General features: G+C 42.1%; 1 long non-coding RNA gene and 2 pseudogenes across 2 annotated transcripts in view; 1 reads left to right on the top strand and 2 right to left on the bottom strand.

The window, feature by feature from the left end:
* LOC105372394 (uncharacterized) overlaps positions 1 to 25518 on the top strand; it is a 26083-nt gene extending 565 nt beyond the window's left edge. The window contains exons 2-4 of one of the 2 annotated variants that reach the window (NR_187848.1): positions 5908 to 6103; positions 22653 to 22732; positions 22981 to 25518. This is a non-coding gene — a long non-coding RNA (uncharacterized LOC105372394). Of the gene's footprint in view, positions 1 to 5907; positions 6104 to 8476; positions 8897 to 22652; positions 22733 to 22980 lie in introns of those variants that run through there. The other variant, NR_187849.1, reaches the window with a different exon arrangement.
* Positions 12728 to 13721, bottom strand: LOC100128948 (zinc finger protein 607 pseudogene; annotated as a pseudogene).
* Positions 23545 to 24953, bottom strand: LOC728533 (IST1 homolog; annotated as a pseudogene).

The raw sequence follows: 25518 nt of genomic DNA, 5'->3' as shown, positions 1-25518 counted from the left end.
TACTCAGGAGGCTGAGGTGGGAGGACGGCTTGAGCCTGGGAAGTCGAGGCTGCAGTGCCACTCTAACCTTGGTGACAGAGGGAGACCTTGTCTTAAAAAAAAAAAAAGGAACCAAGGTTGTGTTTATATGTATTTATGTTCATGAGGACATTGAGCAAATGGGAAACATACTCATCAAAGGATGCCTATGTTTTAGTCATCAGCATTATTACGTATTTTAAATATGTAATACATACATAGAATAACAGTTCAATAGGTATGAAAAGGTTTAAGTAAAAAGATAAGCAGCCTTTCCTTCCACATAGTCCAGTCATACAGTAGCTAACCTTAGAGTCAACATTTTTATTTTGGTATATATCCTTCCAGAGAAGGTATTTTTATATAAAAATATGCACATATACACACACATACAAATGTATTTATATCCATATATAATTCCAAATATACATATATGTAACATGCGTTTATTTCGGGGGAACCAGCCCCCAATATTTCAACGTAGGTTCTTTTCCATTTTCCCTAAGTGTTAGCCGGTGTGAGAAATAAAGAGAAAGAGTACAAAGAGAGAAATTTTACAGCTAGGCCTCTAGGGGTGACATCACATATCGGCAGGTTCCGTGATGCCCCTGAGCCGCAAAACCAGCAAGTTTCTATTAGGGATTCTGGAAGGGGAGCAGATGTACGAACAGGGAGTAAGTCACAAAGATCACATGCTTCAAAGGGCAATAAAAGATCACAAGGCAAGGACAAAATTAGAATTACTGATGAGGGTCTGTGTCCCACTATGCACGCATTGTCTTGATAAACATCTTAACAGGAAACAGGATTCGAGAGCAGACAACCAGTCTGACTAGAATTTACTAGGCTGGAATTTCCCAATCCTAGTAAGCCTTAGGGTACTGTAGGAGACCAGGGCATATTTCAGTCCTTATCTCAACCACATAAGACAGACATTCCCAGAGTGGCCGTCTATAGACCTACCCCCAGGAATGCATTCCTTCCCCAGGGTATCAGTTATTAATATTCCCTGCTGGGAAAAGAATTCAGCGATATTTCTCCTACTCAAACGTCCATTTATAGGCTCCCTGCAAGAAGAAAAATATGGCTTTATTCTGCCTGACCCTGCAGGCAGTCAGACCTTATGGTTATCTCCCTTGTTCCCTGAAAATCACTGTTATTCTGTTCTTTTTCAGGGTGCACTGATTTCATATTGTTCAAACACTCATGTTTTACAATCAGATTTCATATTGTTGAAACACACGTTTTACAATTTGTACAGTTAACACAATCGTCACAGGGTCCTGAGGTGTCATACATCCTCAGCTTACAAAGATGACGGGATTAAGAGATTAAAGTAAGATGGCATAAGAAATTATAAAAGTATTAATTTGGGGAACTAATAAATGTCCATGAAATCTTCACAATTTATGTTCAGAGATTGCAGTAAAGACAGGCGTAAGAAATTATAAAAGTATTAATTTTGGGAACTGATAAATGTCCATGAAATCTTCACAATTTATGTTCTTCTGCTGTGGCTTCAGCTGGTCCCTCCGTTCAGGGTCCCAGACTTTCCACAACACATATATAAGTACATATTTCGTTTTCTTCATGTAAACATAGTTCCAAATCAGTACGTAAGGAATGTCATTTTCAACAATGCCAAAGGCCCCAGTATGGCTGCATCCTAGTTTAAGAAACATGCCTTCTCCTACTGTATATTAAGGAATTTCCTATGTTTTCTTTCTTTCTTTCTTTCTTTTTGAAACATAGTCTTGCTCTGTCTCTTAGGCTGGCACTGTTGCAATCCCAGCTCACTGCAACCTCTGCCTCCTGGGTTCAAGCTATTCTCCTGACTCAGCCCCTCTAGTAGCTGGGATTACAGGCATGCACCACCACACTTCGCTAATTTTTTTGTATTTTTTAGTGGAGACGGGGTTTCACCATGTTGGCCAGGCTGGTCTCAAACTCCTGACCTCAAGTGATCTGCTCATCTTGGCCTCTCAAAGTGCTGGGATTATAGGCAGGAGCCACTGCACCTAGCCCCTATGTTTTCTTAAAAGCAATGCTCCAAACAATATACTTGTGTAAACATTAGTTTACATATTTGTACGTTTTTATATCAATTCTCAAAAGTAGGTTTGCTATGTGCATTTTAACTTGTGACATTGACAAATTTCTCATCATGATTGTACCATTTTACATTTTCACACCAGTATCTGTTTCCTGAACCAACAAAATTCATTTGACTCAATTCTTTTTACTCTAATAGTCCATTTTCTCTTAACCTGAAAAGTCATCTCAAACAGTCCTTTTCCCTGTAAATCAAGGCTCAATAGAGATTCCACACCTTTAATTTTTTTGCCTGATCTCCCTTACAAATAGGACAACACTAAAATAATATTCATTTTAGGTTTGTATGCTTAGCAAAATGAAATTTCAGCCACAGACACTTTTCCAAAATTATTTTGAGTAGCTCAACTTCAGACCATGCATTAAACTAGACTGAGAACATGATTTAGTGCCTTATTTGAAGTTTGAGTTTTATAAAACCATGCACGATGGATACTGAAAGCTCTGAAATGGAAGTAAAAATGAGTTGGAGCCAGGCGTGGTGGCTCATGCCTGTAATCCCAGCATTTTGGGAGGCCGAGGTGGGTGGGTCAATTGAGGTCAGGAGTTTGAGACCAGCCTGGCCAACATGGTGAAACCCCAACTACTAAAAATACAAAAATTAGCCGGGCGTGGTGGCAAGCACCTGTAATCCTAGATACTTGGGAGGCTGAGTCGGGAGAATCACTTGAACCCAGGAGGCAGAGGTTGCAGTGAGCCAAGATCGTGCCACTGCACTCCAGCCTGGGTAACAGGGTGGCACTCCAGCCTGGGCAACAGAGTGAAACTCCATCTCAAAAAAAAAAAAGAATTGGAAAGTGTTTTGCCCACCTCTTTTCCCTTGTGGTGACAGAGTCTTGCCCTATGGTTCTGGAGGTATCTGACACATGACACCTGGAAACTGGACAGATGAGATTGACAGCAGCTTATTAATCACATAAAAATGCATATCCCAAAGAAAGAAAGTTAGCACCTCTGCAGGAAGATTGCACTTGGAAGTAGACTACCTCAGCAGGGGCTGTGAGAGGCAGGTTTTATAATAGTAAGAGGATGAGGCGCCCCCTGGTTTCCATGGGAGAATGAGATTATCTTGCTTCATTGGTTTCATGGGCTGGCAGGGAGATGAACTCCATTAGCTTGAGGACCAGGTGGGATATAGCTGGTCTGGCCTTCGAAGGAACTAACTGGCTGGGAGCCTTTCTTGCTGGGTAGGGGGCATATCTGATGAGAGCAGGGAAACTCATGGTTAGGCCTTTGGGACCCGGTGAGGCTCAAAGGTGTTAAGATAACAGATGAAATTTTAGGTCTTACAATATAAGAGAAAAACAGGACCTGACAAGAAATCCTTGTTCTTTAGTAATTTCCTTATAAAAATTAATAATATCTGAGAAAAATTGGAAATAAACATAAAGGAGAGACATCATCCATAATACCTTTGTACAGTAAAAACCAATGTGAATATTTTGGCTGGGTGTGGTGGCTCACACCTATAATCCCAGCACTTTGGGAGGCTGAGGCAGGTGGATCACTTGAGGTCAGGAGTTCAAGACCAGCCTGGCCAACATGGCAAAACCCTGTCTCTACTAAAAATACAAAAATTAGCTGGACGTGGTGGTAGGTGCCTGTAGTCCCAGCTACTCAGAAGGCTGAGGCAGGAGAATAACTTGAACCCGGGAGGCGGAGGTTGCGGTGAGCCGAGATTGCGCCATTGCACTCCAGCCTGGGAATGGGCAACAAGAGTGAAACTCCGTCTCAAAAAAACAACAACAGAAAAAGTGCCAGGTGGCACCACGGGCGTGGTGGCTCACGCCTGTATTCCCAGCACTTTGGGTGGCCGAGGTGGGTGGATCACGAGGTCAGGAGATGGAGACCATCCTGGCTAACACAGTGAAACCCCGTCTCTACTAAAAATACAAAAAAGTTAGCTGGGCGTGGTGGGAGGCGCCTGTAGTCCCAGCTACTTGGGAGGCTGAGGCAGGAGAATCACTTGAACTTGGGAGGCAGAGGTTGCAGTGAGCCGAGATGGCGCCACTGCACTCCAGCCTGGGTGATAGAGCAAGACTCCGTCTCAAAAAAAAAAAAAAGTAGGAGACTCTGGCTGCCCCCACTTTCTTTGTTCTGACCAAGAAACAGAATGCTTTGACCACTATGACCTGACCAGCTGCATGTTTTCAGCTTGAGCCTAAACCCAAACCAGGGCCTTGCACATTCCTAAGAACTGATTTAGTTTTAGGTTGTTGCTTGATGCACTGAAAGATTAACCATGTTGCTAAACACGTATACTAGATCCTGGGCCAAATATTTTAACTGTCATGTAAACTCCATGACCCAATCCCTTCATTAAGGACATTACATGGGTGGCACATCTCTCTTCTCGTTATCCCTCTCAGGCCGCGGCCCTGTATATTTAAATTCCCCTAGTAAACACTTTGCACTGATTGCCCGGACTTTCAGTGCTTCTGTCTTTAGGATCCCAGCTGGCTCCATCTTGGGATGGAATTCCTTCTGAGAACTTCCCTGCTGCCACTTTTGGGGTGACTCCAGCCCTGCTTAGGACAGAACAGATGTCATGAACTCTATGAGCTCTGTGACAACCCGATTATTCTGAATTTGAACAGCATAAAATTTTCAAATTATGGAAATATATTTTGTCATCATTTCTATTTTTATTTTTCTGAGACAAGGTCTTGCTTGATCACTCAGGCTGGATGGAGTTCAGTGGCACAGTCACGGCTCACTGCAGTCTCTGTCTCCTGGGCTCAATCAGTCCTCCCACCTCAGCCTCCTGAGTAGCTGGGATCATAAGCATGCACCACCACATCTGGCTAATTTTTTCATTTTTTGTAGAGACAGGGTCTCACTACATTGCCTCGGCTGGTATTGAACCCCTGAGCTCAAGCAGTCCTCCCACCTTGGCCTCACAAAGTGGCAGGATTACAGATGTCAGTCACCCTGCCCAGCTGGAAATTTATTATTTTAAACCTGCCTTCCTCGGTGATTCTTCTTGCATATGTTTCTTTGTTAGTCTAGGTTAAAATCAATATGATTAACAATGTTGAGACAGACACAGTGGCTCACGCCTGTAATCCCAGCACTTTGGGAGGCCAAGGCAGATGGATCACTGGAGCTCAGGAGTTCAAGACCACCCAGGGCAACATGGTAAAACCTCGTCTCTACTAAAAATACAAAAAAATTAACCGGGTATGGTGGCACGCACCTGTAGTCCCAGCTACTTGGGAGGCTAAGGCAGGAGAATCACTTGAGCCCCAGAGGCACAGGTTGCAGTGAGCCGAAATCATGCCACTGCACTCCAGCTTGGGCTACAGAGTGAGACTCCATCTAAAAAAAACAAAAAACAAAACAAAAAAAATTGTATTTGTTGTCATATAGCAGAGCCGAAGTAATTAATGTGTTGCTGTTAGATTTTTGTTTTAAATGTTTGGTTATCAAAAATACATTTTGAACATCATTGTACATGCATTTTATGTATTTTTACTAGTGCAGTCATAGGCTATAATGTTTCAATGAACAACAGATCACATATATGGCAGTGGTCCCATAAGATTATAATGGACCTGAAAAATTCCTGTTGCCTAGTGATGTGGTAGCTGTTATAACATCGTAGCACAATGCATTCATCACATTTGTGGTGATGCTGGTGTAAAACATACTGTGCTGCCAGTTGTATAAAAGTATATAGTTACTTTGATAATATGTACTGTACATATATAATACTTTGATAATAAATAACTATGTTACTGGCTTATGTGTTTACTATACTCTTTATCATTATTTTAGAGTGTAGTCCTGCAATTTACAAGAAAAAGTTAAGTGTAAAATAGCCTCAGGCATGTCCTTCAGGAGGGATTCCAGAGGCATTGTTATAGACGATGACAGCTCTGTGTGTGTTATTGCCACTGAAGACCTTCCATGGGACGCGATGTGGAGCTGGAAGTCAGTGATATTGATGATCCTGACACAGTCCTAGGATAAGGTGTGTGTTTGTGTCTCAGCTTTTACCAAAAAAGTTCAAAAAGCAAAAAAAGATTTAAAAATAGAAAAAGGTATATGAATAAGGACTTAAAAGAAAATATTTTTATACAGCTGTATAATGTGTGTTTTAATCTGTCTTATTACAAAAGTCAAAAAGTAAAAATTAAGTTGCAAGTTATAGTAGGCTAAGATTCTTATTGGAGAAAAACATTATTGTATAAATTTAGTGTAGCCCAAGTGTACAGTGTTTACATGAAGTCTGCAGTAGTGTATAGAAATATTTTAGGTCTTCACGTTCACTCACCACTGAATGGCTCACTTAGAGCAACTTCCAGTCCTGTAAGCTTCATTCATGATAAGTGCCCTACATAGGTGTACCATTTTTTATCTTTTATACTATCTTTTTTTTTTTTTTTCTCTTGAGACAGAGTCTCGCTCTGTTGCCCAGGCTGGAGTGCAGGGGCACAATCTCGGCCCACTGCAGCCTCTGCCTCCCGGGCTCAAGTGACCCTCCCACCTCAGCCTCCTGAGTAGCTGGGACCATGGGCGCCTGCCACCAGGCCCGGTTAATTTTTCTGTTTTTTGTAGAAATGGGGTTTTGCCATGTCACCTAGGCTGGTCCTGAACTCCCGCATTCAAGCAACCCCCCTGCCTCAGCTTCCCAAAGTGCTGGGATTACAGGCATGAGCCACCACACCCAGGCTGTGTTTTTCTGTTTTGTTTTTTGAGATGGGATCTCATTATGTTGCCCAGCCTGAACTTGAACTCCTGGCTCAAGCAATCCTCCAGAGTGGCTGGGATTGCAGGTGTGCACCAGCACACTTGGCTATATACTATATTTCTACTGATCCTTTTCTCTGTTTAGATATGTTTAGACACACAAATACCATTGTGTTACAGTTGGCTACGGTATTCACTACAGTAACATGCCGTATAGGTTTGTAGCCTAGGAGCAATAGGCTATACCATGTAGCCTGGATGTGTGTGTAATCGGCTATACCAAAGGTTTAAGTACATTCTGTGATGTCTGCACAGTGACAAAATTGCCTAACCACACATTTCTCAGAGTGTATCCCTGTTGCTAAGTGAGGCGTAATTGCATTTCCTTAAGCGAATTCCTAGAAGTATAATTTGCCTACAGGTATAAGTGCTTATAGTGTAACAGACCTTGCAATCATAGCATTTGAGGTGGTAGACTAAAATGACATAGTTGCTAAGGTGTCTTTTATTCTAGTAAAATAAACTCTGACTAGGAATCAATGTATTAAGGACCACTATCCAGATTCAGGTGATGTGACAGAAATCTTAGAGGAGGTTCAGCTATGAGGAAACTGAAGGAAACACAAGTAATTCAGCAAAAACAATCCAAATTTATTGTTTTTCTGTAAGATCAAGTAGAGATGGTTTTATTTTTTATTTTTTATTTTTTATTTTTATTTTTATTTTTTTTTTTTGAGATGGAGTCTTGCTCTGTTGCCCAGGCTGGAGTGCAGTGATGCGATCTCGGCTCACTGCAAGCTCCGCTCCCCAGGGTTCACGCCATTTTCCTGCCTCAGCCTCCCGAGTAGCTGGGACTACAGGCGCCTGCCACCTCACCCGGCTAATTTTTTGTATTTTTAGTGGAGATGGGGTTTCACCGTGTTAGCCAGGATGGTCTCGATCTCCTGACCTCGTGATCCGCCCGCCTCGGCCTCCCAAAGTGCTGGGATTACAGGCGTGAGCCACCGCGCCCAGCCGAGATGGTTTTAAAAAGTGAACGTTCTGCTTTTGAGAGTGTAGGTTTCCGCTTAAAACACACACACAAAAGTTTACATACATATATTTCAAGTAAGGCATGGCAACTGACCAAAAATTATGATATATTTAACCAAAATACCCCAAGATCAAAACAAAAAGATAAACGCTGTTAATATACGGGTGTATGATATTCTAGACTTTTTCAGTCTAGTTATATATAATGGCCTGAATCCTATATTGAAATATGTGTATGTTTTACAAATAATATCATGTTCTACATGTGGCTTGTAACCTGATTTTTTTCAAAAATAATATTTCTGAAATATTTTTTATATCCTTAAGATTTTTCCCTATCTATCATTTATTACATGGGTACTTTAGTAATCAGGTTCTCTGAAATAAGAATGCCCAAAACTGCCTGACTGTGCAGGAAAGGGTTACCTCAGCAGGCCTGTGGTGTTCAACCCTTATACATTCCAATGAAAAGCCTGTGTTCAGGAGGACTGGCCCTTCACTGGCCCCTGGGAGATAATCTCTGAGTACTTGGACTATCGTGCTTCCTATGCTGTATCACTGTCACCACAAAGTTTATGCAAAAAATGTGACTTATGATGAATGGCTATTTTGTGTGCCCAAGGCCCATGCTATATGAGCTTGACTTCTGGAAGGCTGGAGACTGAGTAAATTCAGGAGTTAAGTTCAGTCACCCAGGCACCATGGACACCAGCATTCAGACGAGATTACCTGTTTGGCACTACTTTGCACATGCTGGCACACACCATGGTGGGAAGAATTAAGTGCTGTTGCCATGCAATTCTAATGGAAGGGGAAAACTGGAAGCTTGTGCCTCGTCTCTCCTGGACTTTGTCCAGTGCCTTCTCCCATTGTTCATTGTTGCCTGCATCCTTCGCCTTGAGTTTGAGTATGGCAGCTCTTCTGGATCCCAGGAGTCCTTCCAGCAAATCATTGAGCCTGAGTGGTCCTGGAGACCAGTGGCACACCTTTGTTCAAGATAATGGTTCACTTCTCAATCAATAAAAATGTACTTGTAGACGCATTCATTGCTTTTCACTGGTGGGAACAAAACTGTTTGAAACGGTACTATTTTGTTTACTAATCACTAGGCTCTAATTCTTCTGTTGTATTAACTGTTGCTTTGTATTGGCTTAGGGTTTATCAAGTTTATCAACGCCAGCTCATTAACAGGTATTGAATGGGTTCTGGGGATAGAGTGGTGAACACAAATTCTGGCCTTTACTCTTCGTTTCCTGTGTGCATTGAAGGGTATTAAATTCCCAAAAAGGTCTGGCAATATCCCCATGTTCTAATATACAGGCCTTTAATTATTATTACTTTCTGAAGAGGCCCTGATTTCCATTTTTAATTCCATATTTAATTAAGGATTTAATTAATTATAGATTTCTAAATTATAGATTTCTAAAGATTTCTAAAAGGATGTTGCTTTTAGATTTCTAAAAGGATTATAGATTTCTAAAAGGATGTGACACAATATCCCTGAGATTAATAACTGTAAAATGGCTCTTTATAATGGGGCTCTATTCTGGAGAGATCAAGCAATCACCACTATAACCAAGTGATGACACTTAGCATCCTTAGTCCTGGAAAAAATCAAACATTATACGCTTTTTAGTGTGCACATCATCTGTGACATATTCTTGCTGAAAATTCTTAATCATAACCTAGTAAACCTCTTGGTTTAACTTCAAATATACTAGAACTATGAGGACTAAGATAAAGAAAAATAAGACTTCACAATGAAACAATTTTTAAAATCCACAGTTGGGTGTGATGGCTCATGCCTGTAATCCACTTTGGGAGGCTGAGGTGGGAAGATCCCCTGAGCCCAGTAGTTCCAGACCAGCATGGGCAACATAGAGAGACCCTGTCTCCACAAAAAAATAAAGTTAACCAGGTATGGTGGCACACACCTGTGGTCCCAGTTATTTGGGAGGCTGAGGTGGGAGGATTGCTTAAGTCCAGGAGGTCAAGGCTGCAGTTAGCTGTGATTGCACCATGGCGCTCCATCCTGGGTGACAGAGCGAGACCCTGTCTCAAACGAAAAAACAAAACCACACACACACAAAACAACCCAGAATGTTCAGCATTCTATTAGACAACTTTCCTGTGGTCTTCAAAAAGCCAAACTCATGAAAAAAAAAAAACAGTAGAGATATTGTTCTAAATGAGTTGGCAAATGTTCTCTAGAAAGGTCATGATATTATATACAGTAGGTTTTGTGACCATTGCAAATGGTCTCATTGCAATGACATCTCTGACGTGGTAGTAAGAAGAAAACATGTAAACAAGTGAATGTGGTAGTGTTGCAATAAAACTACAAAATCCACTGGCAGGTTGCAATTAGCCTGTAGGCCATAGTTTTCCAGCCACTATTCTAAATTAAAAGTGAGTAACGCTTTATCATAAAGGCATAAACTAGAGCAAATACCAGTTTGAAAATGACCAAAAAGATATAACTTGGATAAATTTTCAAAATTTGAATACAGGTTAGGCATTAGAATATGAAATTATTATTATTATTATTTTTGAGACAGAGTCTCGCTCTGTTGCCCAGGCTGGAGTGCAGTGGCGCGATCTCGGCTTGCTGCGAGCTCCGCCTCCCGGGTTCACGCCATTCTCCTGCCTCAGCCTCCCAAGTAGCTGGGACTACAGGCGCCCGCCGCCACACCCAGCTAATTTTTTGTATTTTTAGTAGAGACGGGGTTTCACCGTGTTAGCCAGGATGGTCTCTATCTCCTGACCTCGTGATCTGCCTGCCTTGGCATCCCAAAGTGCTGGGATTACAGGCTTGAGCCACCGCACCCGGCCAAAATTATTATTTTTCTTATGTAATTAGAAATCTGTCTCTTGGCCGGGCACGGTGGCTCATACCTGTAATCCCAGCACTTTGGGAGGCTGAGGCAGGTGGATCACCTAAAGTTGGGAGTTCAAGACGAGCCTGACCAACATGGCAAAACCCCGTCTCTACTAAAAATACAAATTTAGCCAGGCATGGTGGCTCATGCCTGTAATCTCAGCTACTCAGGAGGCTGAGGCAGGAGAATCGCTTGAACCCGGGAGGCAGAGGTTGCCGTGAGCCGAGATCGTGCCATTGCACTCCAGCCTGGGCAACAAGAGCAAAACTCCGCCTAAAAAAAAAAAGCAAAAAAAAAGAAATCTGTCTCTTTGGGGGATTCATTTTGATATATTTAAAACTGAAACATCATGATGTTTACAACTGTCCAATGATGCAGCAAAATATACAAAACAGAAAGGTCATATGACATAATATTAACATATATTTGCTGTACTGTTTTTCAGCTTTTCTTTATGTTTCTAATTTTTCATAAATTTGGGGGAAATGGCAAAATAGATATCCTTTGGCCAATTTCTAATCAATTTTGAAATGTGGAAGTGGAATGTAAATCATTGGCTAATTTAACATTTTTTTACACTTTCTAAAAGTATAAATATAAATTTCATTCAAGGATTAAGTGTTTGATTCACCTTAAGACCTCAGAATGAAGATGCTCTCAGGTTTTTTACATTCTATTAGAGTAGTTCAGAAAGAAAAAATTCACATTAAAAAAGGGGTAAGCAGTTACATGAAATGTTCCTAAATTCTTAGACCCATAAGAGTTTCATCTCAAAACATAAATGGTATTAGAAACAGTCGCTAATGTTTATCGAACATGAACTATTATGTCAAAAACTTTCCCATGTTTTCCACATAAATGAACTGATTTAGTTCTAACAGCCACTATAATGTAGATATTATTAGTATTGCCATATACGAATGAGAAAAAACAAGGAGTGGAAAGACAATTAGAATGGTTAAGATCATACAAAGGCTAAACGCTTTCCTACGTCTGTCTGTTACATTAGCAGAGGTTTTCTGTGATATGAATTTACTCAAGTTTAATAATGATTTGTGCTGGAAAGCTTTTATACATAAAACAAATAAACAAGGTTTTGTGTGTTCTCTTAATATTCCTTTAGTATAAATATTCTGAGAATCCATAAATAGTGTTGGGAAAGGCCGTCATGCAGTCTTTCAGCCCTCACATGGCCACATAAGACTGAGCCTTGGGCCTGGAACACTTCCCTACCATGAGATTCAAAAGCCCTCATAGCCTGTGCTGGGATTATTGACTTGTGTGGGACTGTATTTCCCTGTTTTGGACTTATTGTATACTCTTTTGTTCTGCTTAAGCACATCTGTCAGTGGCCTTGAAGCACATTCCCAGCATTATGTATTTCAGACCCGAGGCGGGGAAGGGATGAAGTCCTGTCACTGCAGCACAAAGTGGGGTGTGTGCAGTTGCTAGTGTCTTCCATATCAGCTGCACAGTGGAACTGCTGGCTAGGGGGACTGACACATTGCAAGCGGCACGATCTTATGCACTCTTTCTCCTCTCTAGCTTTAAGTAAATGCTGAACCACTTGAGCCTGGTGTGCTTGTAGTCTGTCTTCCACAACCTCAAACCATGTACCAGTCTCTTCCCTGGGTGGCACTTACCTGCCTTTTAACCTTGGCTGCACAGTCTGGCCACAGATTGAACAGTGAAACATAGAGGAATGCCATAAAATACTTTCTTTTATAAAATACAACATAAATACTCTGAACACTTGAGTCATAAATTAAAAACTTCAAATATTTATATTCCAAAAGAGTTCATACCAGTATAGATTATTTTACGTCCTGTAAAAACTGATCCATGCATAAAAGCCTTCTCACATTTTCTTCATTCAACTGTTTCTCAGTGGTATAATTCATTCATATACTGTGCATTGTCTATTATATGTATATGCCATAAAGTATTTCACTGGTATGAATTCTGTGATATACTTGAAGGATTGAACTAAACCTAAAGGACTTCCCACATTTGTCACATTCAAAGGGTTTCTCACCAGTATGCATGCTCTGATGTACTTTGAGACTTGAACTGAGCCTAAAGGACTTTCCACATTTGTTACATTGAAAGGGTCTCTCACCACTGTGAATACTCTCATGCTGACTCAGTCGTCCATACACACTAAAAGCCTTCCCACACTCCTTACATTCATAGGGTTTCTCCCCAGTATGAAATCTATGATGTATAGTAAGTTGATGGTTACTCCTAAAAGCTTTCCCACACTCTTTACATTCACGGGGTTTCTCACCAGTATGAATTCTTTCACGTCTAACAAGATGTGACGTGTGACTAAAGGCGTTCCCACATTCTTTACATTTGTAGGGTTTTTCACCAGTATGAATTCTGTCATGTTGTGCCAGGTTTGAGGCTTGACTGAAGGCCTTCCCACATTCCTTACATTCATAGGGTTTCTCACCAGTATGAATTCTCTGATGTTTCCTAAGTCTTCCAACTTCACTAAAGGCCTTCCCACATTCATGACACACATAGGATTTCTCACCAGTATGAACTCTTCCATGTTGAGCAAGGTTTGTGGCACGACTGAAGGCCTTCCCACATTCTTCACATTCATAGGGTTTCTCACCAGTATGAATTCTCTGATGTACTCTAAGGTCTGTAAGACGACTAAAGGTTGTCCCACAGTCTTCACATTGATAGGGTTTCTCACCAGTGTGAATTCTTTTGTGGATTCTAAGGTCTGTATGATGACTTCCCACATTCCTGGCAATCACAGGCCTTCCCACATTCCTGGCAATCACAGGGTTTCTCACCAGTGTGAATTACTTGATGTACTCTAAGGTCTGTATGACGACCAAAGGCCTTCCACATTGCTTACATTCATAGGGTTTCTCTCCATATTGAATTATCTGATGGAGAGTAAGAAATGAATGTTTTCTATAAATGTACATGTTCCCGTAGTTGATTATTTCATACCTCGAATCCAAATCTAAAAGAAATAAGAAAAACACTTTGTTTCCTTGACCAGAAAAAGTAAATGTTGTATGGTAGAATTAAGAGAAAATTGATAATCTCATCTATTAGATATGATATAAAGAACTCTAAAATACAGTTATATGGACAGAGGGTTCTAAAAGATGGTAGAGCAGGAAGCACTAGGAATGTGTCATCCCACCTAGACAACAATTGTACTGGCAGAATCTACCTTATGTGACCATTTTGGAACCTGAATATATTCAAAGCTTGTAACTTCCAGGGAAAGGCATGGATGGCAAACTGTGGTTAATTTCTGCTAATTTCAGCTCCAGGCAGCAACTCATCCCCCAGCCATGGGGCAAGCAGCCATGCATATCTGGCAGCTTAAGGGAGCCAGGGTGGGCAGCAAGGAACCTGTCCTCCAAAACTTGGGTATCTGATTTCTCATTGCTATTTCTGATCTTGGCAGTGCAGACAGATTAGCAGTCTGCCATTGCTGCACCCTTCTGCTCCAGTATTCCAAGCCCCTCTTGCTCCAGCTGAAGCTACTTCCAGGTGATTTAAAGATCCAATTCCCTTCTTTCCTCTTTGTTTTTCTCTTTTTTCCCTTCTGGGGGCCAGACATTCAAACTCTAGGATGGGGTCCCCAACCCATAGTACTGGTCTGTGGCCTGTTAGGAACTGGACCACACAGCAGGAGGTGAGCAGCGGGCGAGCAAGTGAAGCTTCATCTGTATTTCCAGCTGCTCTCCATTGTTCACATGACCGCCTGAGCTCTGCTTCCTGTCTGATCAGCGGTGGCATTAGATTCTCATAGGAGCATGAACCCTACTGTGAACTGTGCATGTGGGGGGTCTAGGTTATGCACTCCTTATGAGAATCTAATGCCTGATGATCTGTCACTGTTTCCCATCACCCCCAGATGGGACCATCTAGTTATGGGAAAACAAGCTCAGGGTGCCCACTGATTCTACATTATGGTGAGTTTAATAATTATTTCATTATATATTACTATGTAATAATAATAGAAATAAAGTACACAATAAATTTGACACACTTGACTCATCCTGATATCACCCCACCCCCTCCCCGGGCCCATGGAAAAACTATCTTCCAAAAACCAGTCCCTGGTGCCAAAAAGATTGGGGACTACTGACCTAGGAGATTTTATTAAAAACCAGACACACCGGGGAATTTAGAGAGTCACGGTGCATGCCCAGAAAAGGATGCAGGCTTCAAGAAGATCTGAGAAGACTTTAAGCTTACATCTCCGGGTAATCCATGACACAGGGAGCCTACAATGATCAAAAAACAAAAAAATTCACAAACACCAAAAAAGGAAGAACCTGATTTCCAGAGTTACTATATTATTGGAGTCAAATATCTAGCTTTCAACAACAACAACAATCACAAGGCACACAAATAAATAAGAAAGGCTCATTCAAAGTACAAAAACCATCAAGCAGACCAGCATATGCTCTGTAGAAATTTCAGTAGGAAAAGAGAAAGGACCAGAGAGATTATTTCAAAAATTAATGCCTAAAATTAATGCCTAAAACTTCCCAAATTTGATGAAAGATATGAATGTAAACATCCAAGATGCTTAATGAACTCCAATTAAGATGAACTCAAAGACATCCATTCCAAGACACATCAAACTGTTGAAAGCCAAGGCAGAGAGATTCCTGAAAGCAGCAAGAGAGAAGAAACCAACTCATCACATTCAAGGGATGCTCAATAAGATGATCAGTAGATTTCTCATAAAAAAACTTTGGGCCACACAGCATTGGTGGAGACATGGCTGGTTTGGAGCAGGAGCAGCTTGGCAGGCTGGCTTGACAGGGCGGCTGGAGCTGCAGCCTCTGGGTACAGGGTCTTAGAGCACGTCTCCTGCAGATAAGGGAGGCCTACTATATAACGTTTCTTTCTTTTTTCTTTAATTATAAAGCATTCTCCTTTTGAAATATAACAATTTGCCACAAATATCACTTCAGGTATAAAGATATTAAGATACCTTTATAGTAGATAAAAAGTTAACTAATTCTTTGTTAAGAGTTATCTTCCATTATATAAGCATTTAAGATATTAAAGTACTTTTGCAACCAAAAATAATGCTTCTGTAAATATTCTTTTACTTCTATCTTTATGAGATTTTACTTCTGCTGAAACAGATTGCACGAGGAAACAAACGTATGCGTATATAATGTAATATATATGTATATACAATTTAATATATACACATACATACAATAACATATACAATTTTTTGTTTTTTGAGATGGAGTTTCGCTCTGTCTCCCAGGCTGAAGTGCAGTGGCGCTATCTCAGCTCACTGCAACCCCCGCCTCTCGGGTTCATGCGATTCTCCTGCCTCAGCCTCCCGAGTAGCTGGGATTACAGGCATCTGCCACCGTGTCCAGCTAACTTTGTCTTTTTAGTGGAGATGGGTTTTCACCATGTTGGCCAGGCTGGTCGCGAACTCCTGACCTCAAGTGATTCACCCACCTTGGCCTCCAAAAGTGCTAGAATTACAGGCGTGAGCCACCGTGCCGAGCCTAACATATACAATTTAATTTATACAAAAAAAATAACAGGTTGGGCGCAGTGGCTCACTCCTGTATTCCTAGCACTTTGGGGAGCTGAGGTGGGGGATTCCTTGAACCCGGGAGTTTGAGACCAGCCTGGGCAACACGATGAAACCCCCTCTGTACAAAAAACACAAAAATTAGCTGGGTGTGGTGGCACGTGCCTGTGGACCCAGCTACTCAGGATACTGAGGTGGGGGGATAGCTGGAGCCTGGGTGGTCAAGGCTGCAGTGAGTTGTGATCACGCCAGTGCACTCCAGCTCAAGTGACAGAGTGAGACCTGTCTCAGACAAAAACAAAAACAAACCAAATAAAATGTCTACGCACTACACACTCGATTTCTTTCCGGAGGTTTATATAACACTATACTTTCACCAGCAATATATGAGACTACTCATTTCCTACATACTCACTATCACTTGTGTGCAGTCAAGGAAACTTAGTAGGCCTGAATTGTCCAAACCCCGCACACTCCAAAGAAAGGTTTGACTCTAGCCCAGCTCCTGGAAAATAACCTCTAACTCCTTGGAATATCCTGCCTATATAGTCCATGTTAACAATGTGATTTATTGTGGGGACCTTGGACCATGCAGTGTCAGCTTGACCTTGGGAAGGGTGGAGACAGAGAAACTAAGGTCATCCAAATGGGTGCTCTTGTCCATGTGACCAACCTCCAGTAAAACCCTCAACACCAAGGCTCAGGTAAGCTTTTTGTTGGGGAGTATTTTCTGTACTTTCTGCCACATATCGCTGGGTGAATTAAGCACTGTCCACATGATGCCGCTGGGAGAGGACAACTGGAAGCTTGCGCTTGGTCTCTCCTCAACTCTGCCCTATGCACCTTTTTCTGCTGCTGATTTTAATCTGTACCTTTTTGTTGTAATAAACTATAACCATGAGTATAACAGCTTGACTCAGTTTTGTGAGTTCTTCTAATTAATCACTGAACCTTTGGGACCCCAGAACACAACTTTGTTTCTTCTTTAATTGAATTTTACATGTTATGTAAGAAACCTATGTGCATCATTGAAAAATCATACACTAAGAAAGAGCTTTCCATGCAGTCTACTCCCCCACCTTATTTCTCCAATGCTCCCAGGTCTACTCCCTGAATAATCAAATGTTTAAATTTTCTAAACTATTTCTAATCTATATATCTGAGTGATTATCTCTGTGTTATATAATAGGTAGATCCTGCTCCTTCTCAATATATCAACTTGATATATTACCTGATGACTTCCTGTTCTCACAGGTGATGACTTGGCTGACACTCACCCCAGTGCCTGGACCACTTTCCAAATACGGTACTCTCACTCTTTTTTTTCTTTCTTTCCTTCCTTTCCTTCTTCCTTTCCTTTCCTTTCTTTTTCTTTCCCTCTCTCTCTCTTTCTTCCTTTCGACGGAGTCTTGCTCTGTCACCGAGGCTAGAGTGCGATCTTGGCTCACTGCAACCTCCACCTCCCGGGTTCAAGTGATTCTCCTGCCTCAGCCTCCCGAGTAGCTGGGATTACGGGTGCCTGCCACCATGCCCGCTAATTTTTGTATTTTTAGTAGAGATGGGGTTTCACCATCTTGGCCAGGCTGGTCTTGAACTCCTGGCCTCGTGATCCACCCACCTCGGCCTCCCAAAGTGCTGGGATTACATTCATTAACCACCATGCCTGGCCACTCTATTTTCAATGGCTCTGTTGGTTACATTTCACAACGTTCAGCAATTAGACTTATACCTCATTTATTTATTTATTTTTAATTTTTTCTATTTTTAGGTTTAACGGATACATGTGCAGGCTTGTTATATGGGTAAATTGCATATCACTGGGGTTTGGTGTACAAATGATATCATCACCCAGGTAGTGACCACAGTACCCAATAGTTTTTTGATCCATAGCCTCATGCCACCCTTCCCACTCAAGCAGGCCTCAGTGTCTGTTGTTCCCATCTCTGTGTCCATGTGTACTCAATGTTTAGCTCCCACTTATAAGTGAGAACATAGGGTATTTGGTTTCCTGATGCTGCATTAATTCGTTTAGGATAATGGCCTCCAGCTGCATTCATGTTGCTGCAAAGGACATGATTTATTTTTTTTACGCCTGTGTAGTATTCCGTGGTGTATATGTACCACATTTTCTTTATTCAGTCCACTGCTGATAGGCATCACATATGCAGCTTCAAACTATACTACAAGACTACAGTAACCAAAACAGCATGGTACTGGTACAAAAACAGACACATAGACCAAAGGAACAGGTTAGAGAACCCAGAAATAAAGCCACACACCTACAACCATCTGATCTTCGACAAAGTCAACAAAAATGAGCAATGGGGAAAGGACTCCCTATTCAATAAATGGTGCTGGGATAACTGGCTAGCCATATGCAGAAGATTCAAGCTGGGCCCCTTACCTTTCACCATATACAAAAATTAACTCAAAATGGATTAAAGATTTAAATACAAGACATCAAACTATAAAAATCCTGGAAGACAACCTAGGAAATACTCTTCTCAACACGGGCCTTGGCAAGGAATTTTTGGCTGAGTTTCCAAAAAAGCAGCAAAGACAAAAATAGACAAGTGATACCTAATTAAACTAAAAGCTTTAACACAACAAGACAAACTACCAACAGAGCAAACAGACAACCTACAGAATGGGAGAAGATACTCACGAACTATGTATCCAACAAAGGCCTAATATCCACAATCTACAGAGAACATAAACAAATGGAACTTAAATGTAAACAGAACTCTTACTACGTAGCAAGTTCTATATGCATAAGCCTGTCTTTATTCTTTTTTTTTTTTTTTTGAGACGGAGTCTCAATCTGTGGCCCAGGCTACAGCACAGTGGCACGATCTAGGCTCACTGCAACCTCCATCTCCCAGGTTCAAATGATTCTCCTTCTGCCCTAGCTTTCCAAGTAGTTGGGATTATAGGCGTGCACCTTCATGCACGGCTAATTTTTGTATTTTTAGTACAGATAGGGTTTCACTATGTTGGCCAGGCTGATCTTGAACTCCTGACCTCAGGTGATCCACCCGCCTCGGCCTCCCAAAGTGCTGGGATTACAGGCATGAGCCACTATGCCCAGCCTCTTTGTTCTTATTTGGTTGGCCTTTGTTTATTTATACAAAGAGCAATAACTGATATTCCCCATAAATCGTGGCTTTGAAAATGGTCACAGGAACTTATGACACTTGGAAGAACTTTGCATTTATGTTAGTGGAGTAGTGGCAGTATATGGGGCAGGAACATTTTGTTGTAGATGATGATGCTAAATTTAATTGTGGAAGAAAGGTGTATGTTAATGATGAGATGTCAAAAGATACAAGATAAGGGCCGGGTGCAATGGCTCATGCCTGTAATCCCAGCACTTTGGGAGGCCGAGGCAGGCGAATCATGAGGTCAGGAGTTCGAGACCAGCCTGACCAACATGGTGAAACCCCGTCTCCACTACAAATACAATGATTAGCTGGGCGTGGTGGAGCACACCTGTAATCCAAGCTGCTCGAGAGACTGAGGCAGGAGAATCGCTTGAACCTGGGAGGCAGAAGTTGCAGTGAGCCGAGATCATGCCATGGAACTCCAGAATGGGCGACAGAGCAAGACTCTATCTCAAAAAACAAAACAAAAAGATACAAGATAGGAGGCATTTATTCTGTTTTTCTGACCACTCAGTACCTTTTGAACATTTTTAACTTTTTTTTCTGAGACAGGGGCTCACTCTGTTGCCCAGGCTTGAGTGCAGTGGTGCTGTCGCAGCTCACTGCAGCCTGAGACTCCTGGGCTCAAGTGAGTACAGTCCCACAGTTGCCTGAGAAACTAGTCCCTGAGGCTTGGCAATGCAGGAGCCCTCCGTTCCGGTGCTTGGGTGTGAGGACCCTGAGGCTCTGGCTTGACCTCTCCAGGGTGTTGATGGGATGGTCTCCGGATGCCATGAGTGGCGGAGTTAGGACCAGGATGATGAAACCACAGGCAGAATCCGGGAGGAGCAGCGTGGCATCCCAGCCTCAGGCCTGCCCGGACGGTGTTCGGGTGAGTCTCCCCAAAAGTCATGCCCTCCATGACCTCGAGGACAGGTCTGCCTGTGTGCCTGTGGGCTGCTCTCTCACCCGAGAGTCGTTCTCCTGGAGAGCGGAACCCCGCAGCCTATATGGGTTCTATAGGCAAGCGCTCCCATGCCCAGCTAATTTTTGTATTTTTTGTAGAGACAGGGTTTCACCATGTTGCCCAGGCTGGTCTCAAACTCCTGGGCTCAAGCGATCTACCCACCTCAGCCTCCCAAAGTGCTGGGATTTTACAGACATGAGCCCAGCATAAATTATTAATTCTGAGAGGATATCTTACTTCATAATTTGTGACGTCTTGAGTGTTAAATGATGTTTTTAGTATCTAAAAGGCGTAAATACGTAGTTGTTTTTCACCTCAGGTGGTCCCTGGTACTTCCCTATCCTCCTAAGATACACAGATATATGGAAACCCACGTCAAAAGACAAAGTTACAATAAATTGACTTTAGATCTCATGGGCTTTTATTTGGGATTCACAAACGGGGCAGCCTCCATTGTATAAAATAGAATGAGAGCCCTTGCCCAATGCAGTGGGTTTTGTGTAAGGTGGGAACAAATAACAGAACTAGAGAAAAAAGAACTGAGGCCTGGTGACGGACGTCTGTAGTCCCAGCTACTTGGGAGGCTGAGGCGGGAGGAACGCTTGAGCCCGGGAGTTTGAAGCTGCAGTGAGCCATAACCACTCCACTGCATTCTAACCTGGGTGACAGAGTGAGACCCTGTCTTTAAAAAAAAGTTTTTTAAATTAAAAATAAGAAAGGAGTGGTGAACATCAATTATTTAGACTGGAATCTCTTGTTTTCAGGAAAAACAGGTTTTTTTTGAGATTTATCTGCTCCCTTAAAGTTTCAGTTTGATAATGTGGCATTTAGCATGAGTGACTTCATTTTGGTTTGGTGTGGTCTGTTGGAGCCTAGTGCAGAAGCTCAGTCCAAAGCAATACCATACCATAATTTTGGTTTAACAGCAACAATTGAGGTAGATTCCATTTTCGAACTAACAGTTGGAGTCTTTGTGTCTCTATTAATTCTCTTCTGCAATGACAAAACTACACACAAATGTTCATACATGAAAATTAGAAACACATACACCAAAATATGTAAAGTGATTTTCTCTGGGCAGGGGGGATTTGGGGTTATTCTTTCTTCTTCATAACTTCCTTAGGTAATGAAATTTTTGCAATGAGCCTGCCTTAATTCCATCATTACAAATAGAACATCAATACATTCCAAAGCATTAAACTTTTTAGAAGAGGGTACATTTTTGTCATGAAAAGAAACCTAAGTACTAGGACTAGAATTAAAAAGTATCAACGTGTCATGTAACATGTGTCCTCTTGAATAGCCTTTAGCTGTGCCACTTCTACATAATTAGAAACATTTCACTATTAAGATTCTTCCCTTAATGAACAGGGAAATGGTCTTTGCGCATTAAATGAGAAAAGATACAGAAAACAGACCACATGATTTGGGTACACATTAGATGTTCAATAAATGTGGCCTCTCCCCTTCTATTCTTCTCTGAAAAACCAATTGAATGGTCATATTAGATACAATCCTTGCAAAAGGTTTTGGAAACTTCCATTTTTAAAAAATGGGATGCATATACAGTTTTTGAGAACTGTGATCTACAACTGTGAATACTGTTTAAGGTTAGATCACAGTCATTTTTCCGTTAATGACAAATTCTTATTATTTTTTGTTTCCCTGATATCTGGTATGCAGCTAATAACAAATTCTTTATAAACATAAATTTTATTATCAGTATAATGTCCAATCCCATGGATGTTGTATGATTTTCTTAACCATTCTCATAATCTTGATCATTAGTTTTCTGCAAAACCATTCAAAGGTATAACACTCTGATTCCAGGTCTAAAGCTCAAGTCTAAATAATTTGGAAGATGGAACCCTGGAAAAATGCAAATTAACAAACATGTATATAAAGTTTCAGGGGGATTGTGGTGCCCTGTATGCCCGTAAAAACAGACAATGGACCCAATGACTAAGAATTCCTATTTTGGGGCACTTAAATTTCCGGCTCACTTCCTTCATTTGCACGAACACATCACAACTGAGTTCATATTCCTATTGCTTTTGATCTACAGAAATCCAAAACGGAACGATCCAAAAACTCCTCGAAATAGTGTTTCTGTTTCCCCCTCCAAGGCTACAGGTGCATAATTTCATACACATAACCAGAAGGAAGTATGGTAGGTGAAATCTCTAGTCATCCTTCACTGCAGGTTCTTAGAGTCAGAATTCAAGAAGGCCGTGATTCTTTTTTTTTTTTTCCAGGATCTTTAACTTTATTAGCAGCTACTGAGCTACAGAATACAAACCAACTGAAAACATTAAAGAAAGGCTTCCTGAAACAGGTATGTACAGGTATACTACACAGAAGCAAAAGCTGTATAATCCAATCCCAAAGCCACCCCTGTGGGGAAGGATGACCTTAGCTATGGGCCAAAGGAGTATAGAAGTTATGACATAAGAGTCCCATCCATCCAGGAAAGCAGTGGACAACTACAGCCACATTTGCACCAAAAATTTATCTGAGATTAGTTTTAAAGTTTCCATGAATCAAAGTTTTCAAATGAAAACAGGTACCCCTTTTTTCCTGTAGGCTTTCCAGCTCACTACCCAAAAGACTTGAGTACTTCTATTAAGGCAGCTGGAAGCCCACCCTAGACTTCAATGGCAATTTGTCCTTTCTCTGCCAGTAAGGCAATCCAACACAATATGCTACAGGAAAAACAGAATTTCCATGGTGCTGCCCTCTGGTACAAGGGAAACAGCACTCAGAGCAAAAGGCCACAGAGGACTCCCTGAGAATCCAGTACAACTAAGCGAGGCCTTAAACTGTCGAGACAAACTTTGCAACTGGATCCCGGTGGGACAGTGCCCTGCGGCGAGGAGTAGTGTATATGCCAATGAGAGGGCCCAGCTTCCAGGAACCGTTACAATGGCGTCCTGAGTCATTTTCTCTCTCCCACTTGCATTCGAGTGCGAAAACACACACCGTGGCCTTGATTCTCACTCACCACAATCCCCCTGTACAGAGGGGTTTGTTTCTAAGTCTGGAACCTCAACACGAGGCTGGGATGCTTCACGACGTGCTCTCTCCCACTGTCCAGCCATCTTTGGTGGTCTCCCCATAGTGCTTTCCCATCCTCTTATGCTCCTGTGGAGGGACCATGGGACGGGCCAGGAGGAAACCTGGGATCACTCTGACAGAAAAGGGACAAGCACAGCTGCCAGGAGCCAGTTGCTCCAGCCTCAGTCTCCGGTTGTTAGTCTCAGGATCAACAGAGAACTGGAAAGCAGCAGAATCTGGAGGAGCAGGCAGAGAGCCCAGAGGAGGAGTGTTGTGCTCAGTGACGGTTAACAGATGAAAAGGAATTTCATGGAGATTCTTTGTTACAAGGAGAAATTGCTCAGTCTCAACTCCCAGAATATGAAAGTTGCCTGGTTTAAGAGACCTATATTTTCTTTTTCAGCTCTTCAAACCTCTGGGAAAGATCATCAAAGTCAATGTCTTCAGATGCTGAGGTGCTGGCACCAGCAAATGCAGTTGGTAGTGTGTCTGGCACAGATGGCAACTCTGGTAGGACAAAGTTGTCATAGTTATCCGCAGGTCAGGAAGGAAGCTTTGCAGAGGCTTCTGGCTTGGGTCCAGGACCAACAATCTGTGCAGAAGAGATATTCTTATCAGCATTAATGTCATCTACAGATTCATATGATGGGGGAGTTGCTGGTATCTGAGATGGATAAATATTGGGAAAGGCCTGGTAAGTCCCCATTGGCAGTCCATTGAAATCTGATGGTCCCTTTGGCAGTGGATATGAGAAAGGAGTATTTGCAGATAGCATGGGCATAGGCATGGGCATTGGCACCATTCCATCAGGTCCACCAACTGGTGCTGTGAACCCACCACCCCCTCCTCTTCCAGGGCCTCCTTTCTTCACATCATCTGTGAATCCAACATCAATAAGATCTGTCTCTACCCCAGAAGGAGCTTCTGCCATGACCACAGAGTCAGGTTCATAGGGTACATTGTAATTCTTCGCAATTTCAATCAGGTATCTCTCCACCAGGATTTTGGATGGGGCTTCCACACTCAGATTGTGCATTAGCCTGTCATTCACAGTTCCAATCTGGTTGGTCCTACATAGCTTGCCATATTACTTGCTATACTTGGCACAGAGCTGATCAGCAACTATTTTCAACTCAGCCACTTCTGACTGGAGTCGAGGAGCAGCCCAGATCAATGTAGACACAGATTCAGCCAGACCAGAATCTAGTTCCTTCATAGACTGGATAAGGCCAAACCGAGCCAGCAGCAGATCACAGTACAGCTCCAGGATCTCCATGGCCTCCACGAAGTAGTCTTCCCGGATAATGTGCTCCACACGGATCCGAGCTCGTTCATCTTTCCCAGCAGCCAGATAGTCAGCAATCTCCTTCCTTGCTTTCTGGGCCAGTTCTGTTTTTTTTTTTTTTCCTCCAATAGTTCAAGGCGATTTATGACTAATCTCAAATTCACTCTTAAGTGCTCAGCTTTAAATCCAGAGCCCAGCATGCTGTGCTGTTCCTCCTAACCGAATCCTGCCATGAACACAGCAGACACCGACTTCAGAATCAGGGTTCACCATCCACGTGATTCTTAAACACGTAAATGAAACTCCAAGAACCGGGAGATGGGGGCGGAGTGTACAACCCTTCCAGGAAGGAATCCTACACAAACCCTGCGTGACCAAACTTTACTCAGGCTCTTACACCTTCCCCTGGGCCCATCTGTACACTTCATTATAAAATCCAACAATAACAAAGGCCCCTTTTAAGTCAGTTTAGCAAGAACCCTCTGCCCCCCATCTTCATCCTCCACTATCCCCCAGGCGATGATGTCTTATCATCCAGGTCTCTCTCTTCAGAAAGAATCCCAACAGGTGCGTTTAGCCAGAATCCTACTTATCCCAGACATTTCCTCTTAGTATTTTGTCATCCAGTGATCCCTAACCTGCTCCTTGACTATAAATTCCTACTCGTTCATGCTGAATTTGGAGTTGAACCCAATCTCTTGTACCCATTGCAAAATCTCACTGCTGTGCTTCCAATACCTATCACGATGATCCTGAATAAAGTCTTCCTTTGCATGCTTTAA

The sequence above is a fragment of the Homo sapiens genome, chromosome 19 (genome assembly GCF_000001405.40).
Source record: "Homo sapiens chromosome 19, GRCh38.p14 Primary Assembly".
NCBI classification, from domain to species: domain Eukaryota; kingdom Metazoa; phylum Chordata; class Mammalia; order Primates; family Hominidae; genus Homo; species Homo sapiens.
The sequence above is the reverse complement of the archived record's forward strand: the minus strand, read 5'-3'. Positions and strand labels throughout refer to the sequence as shown.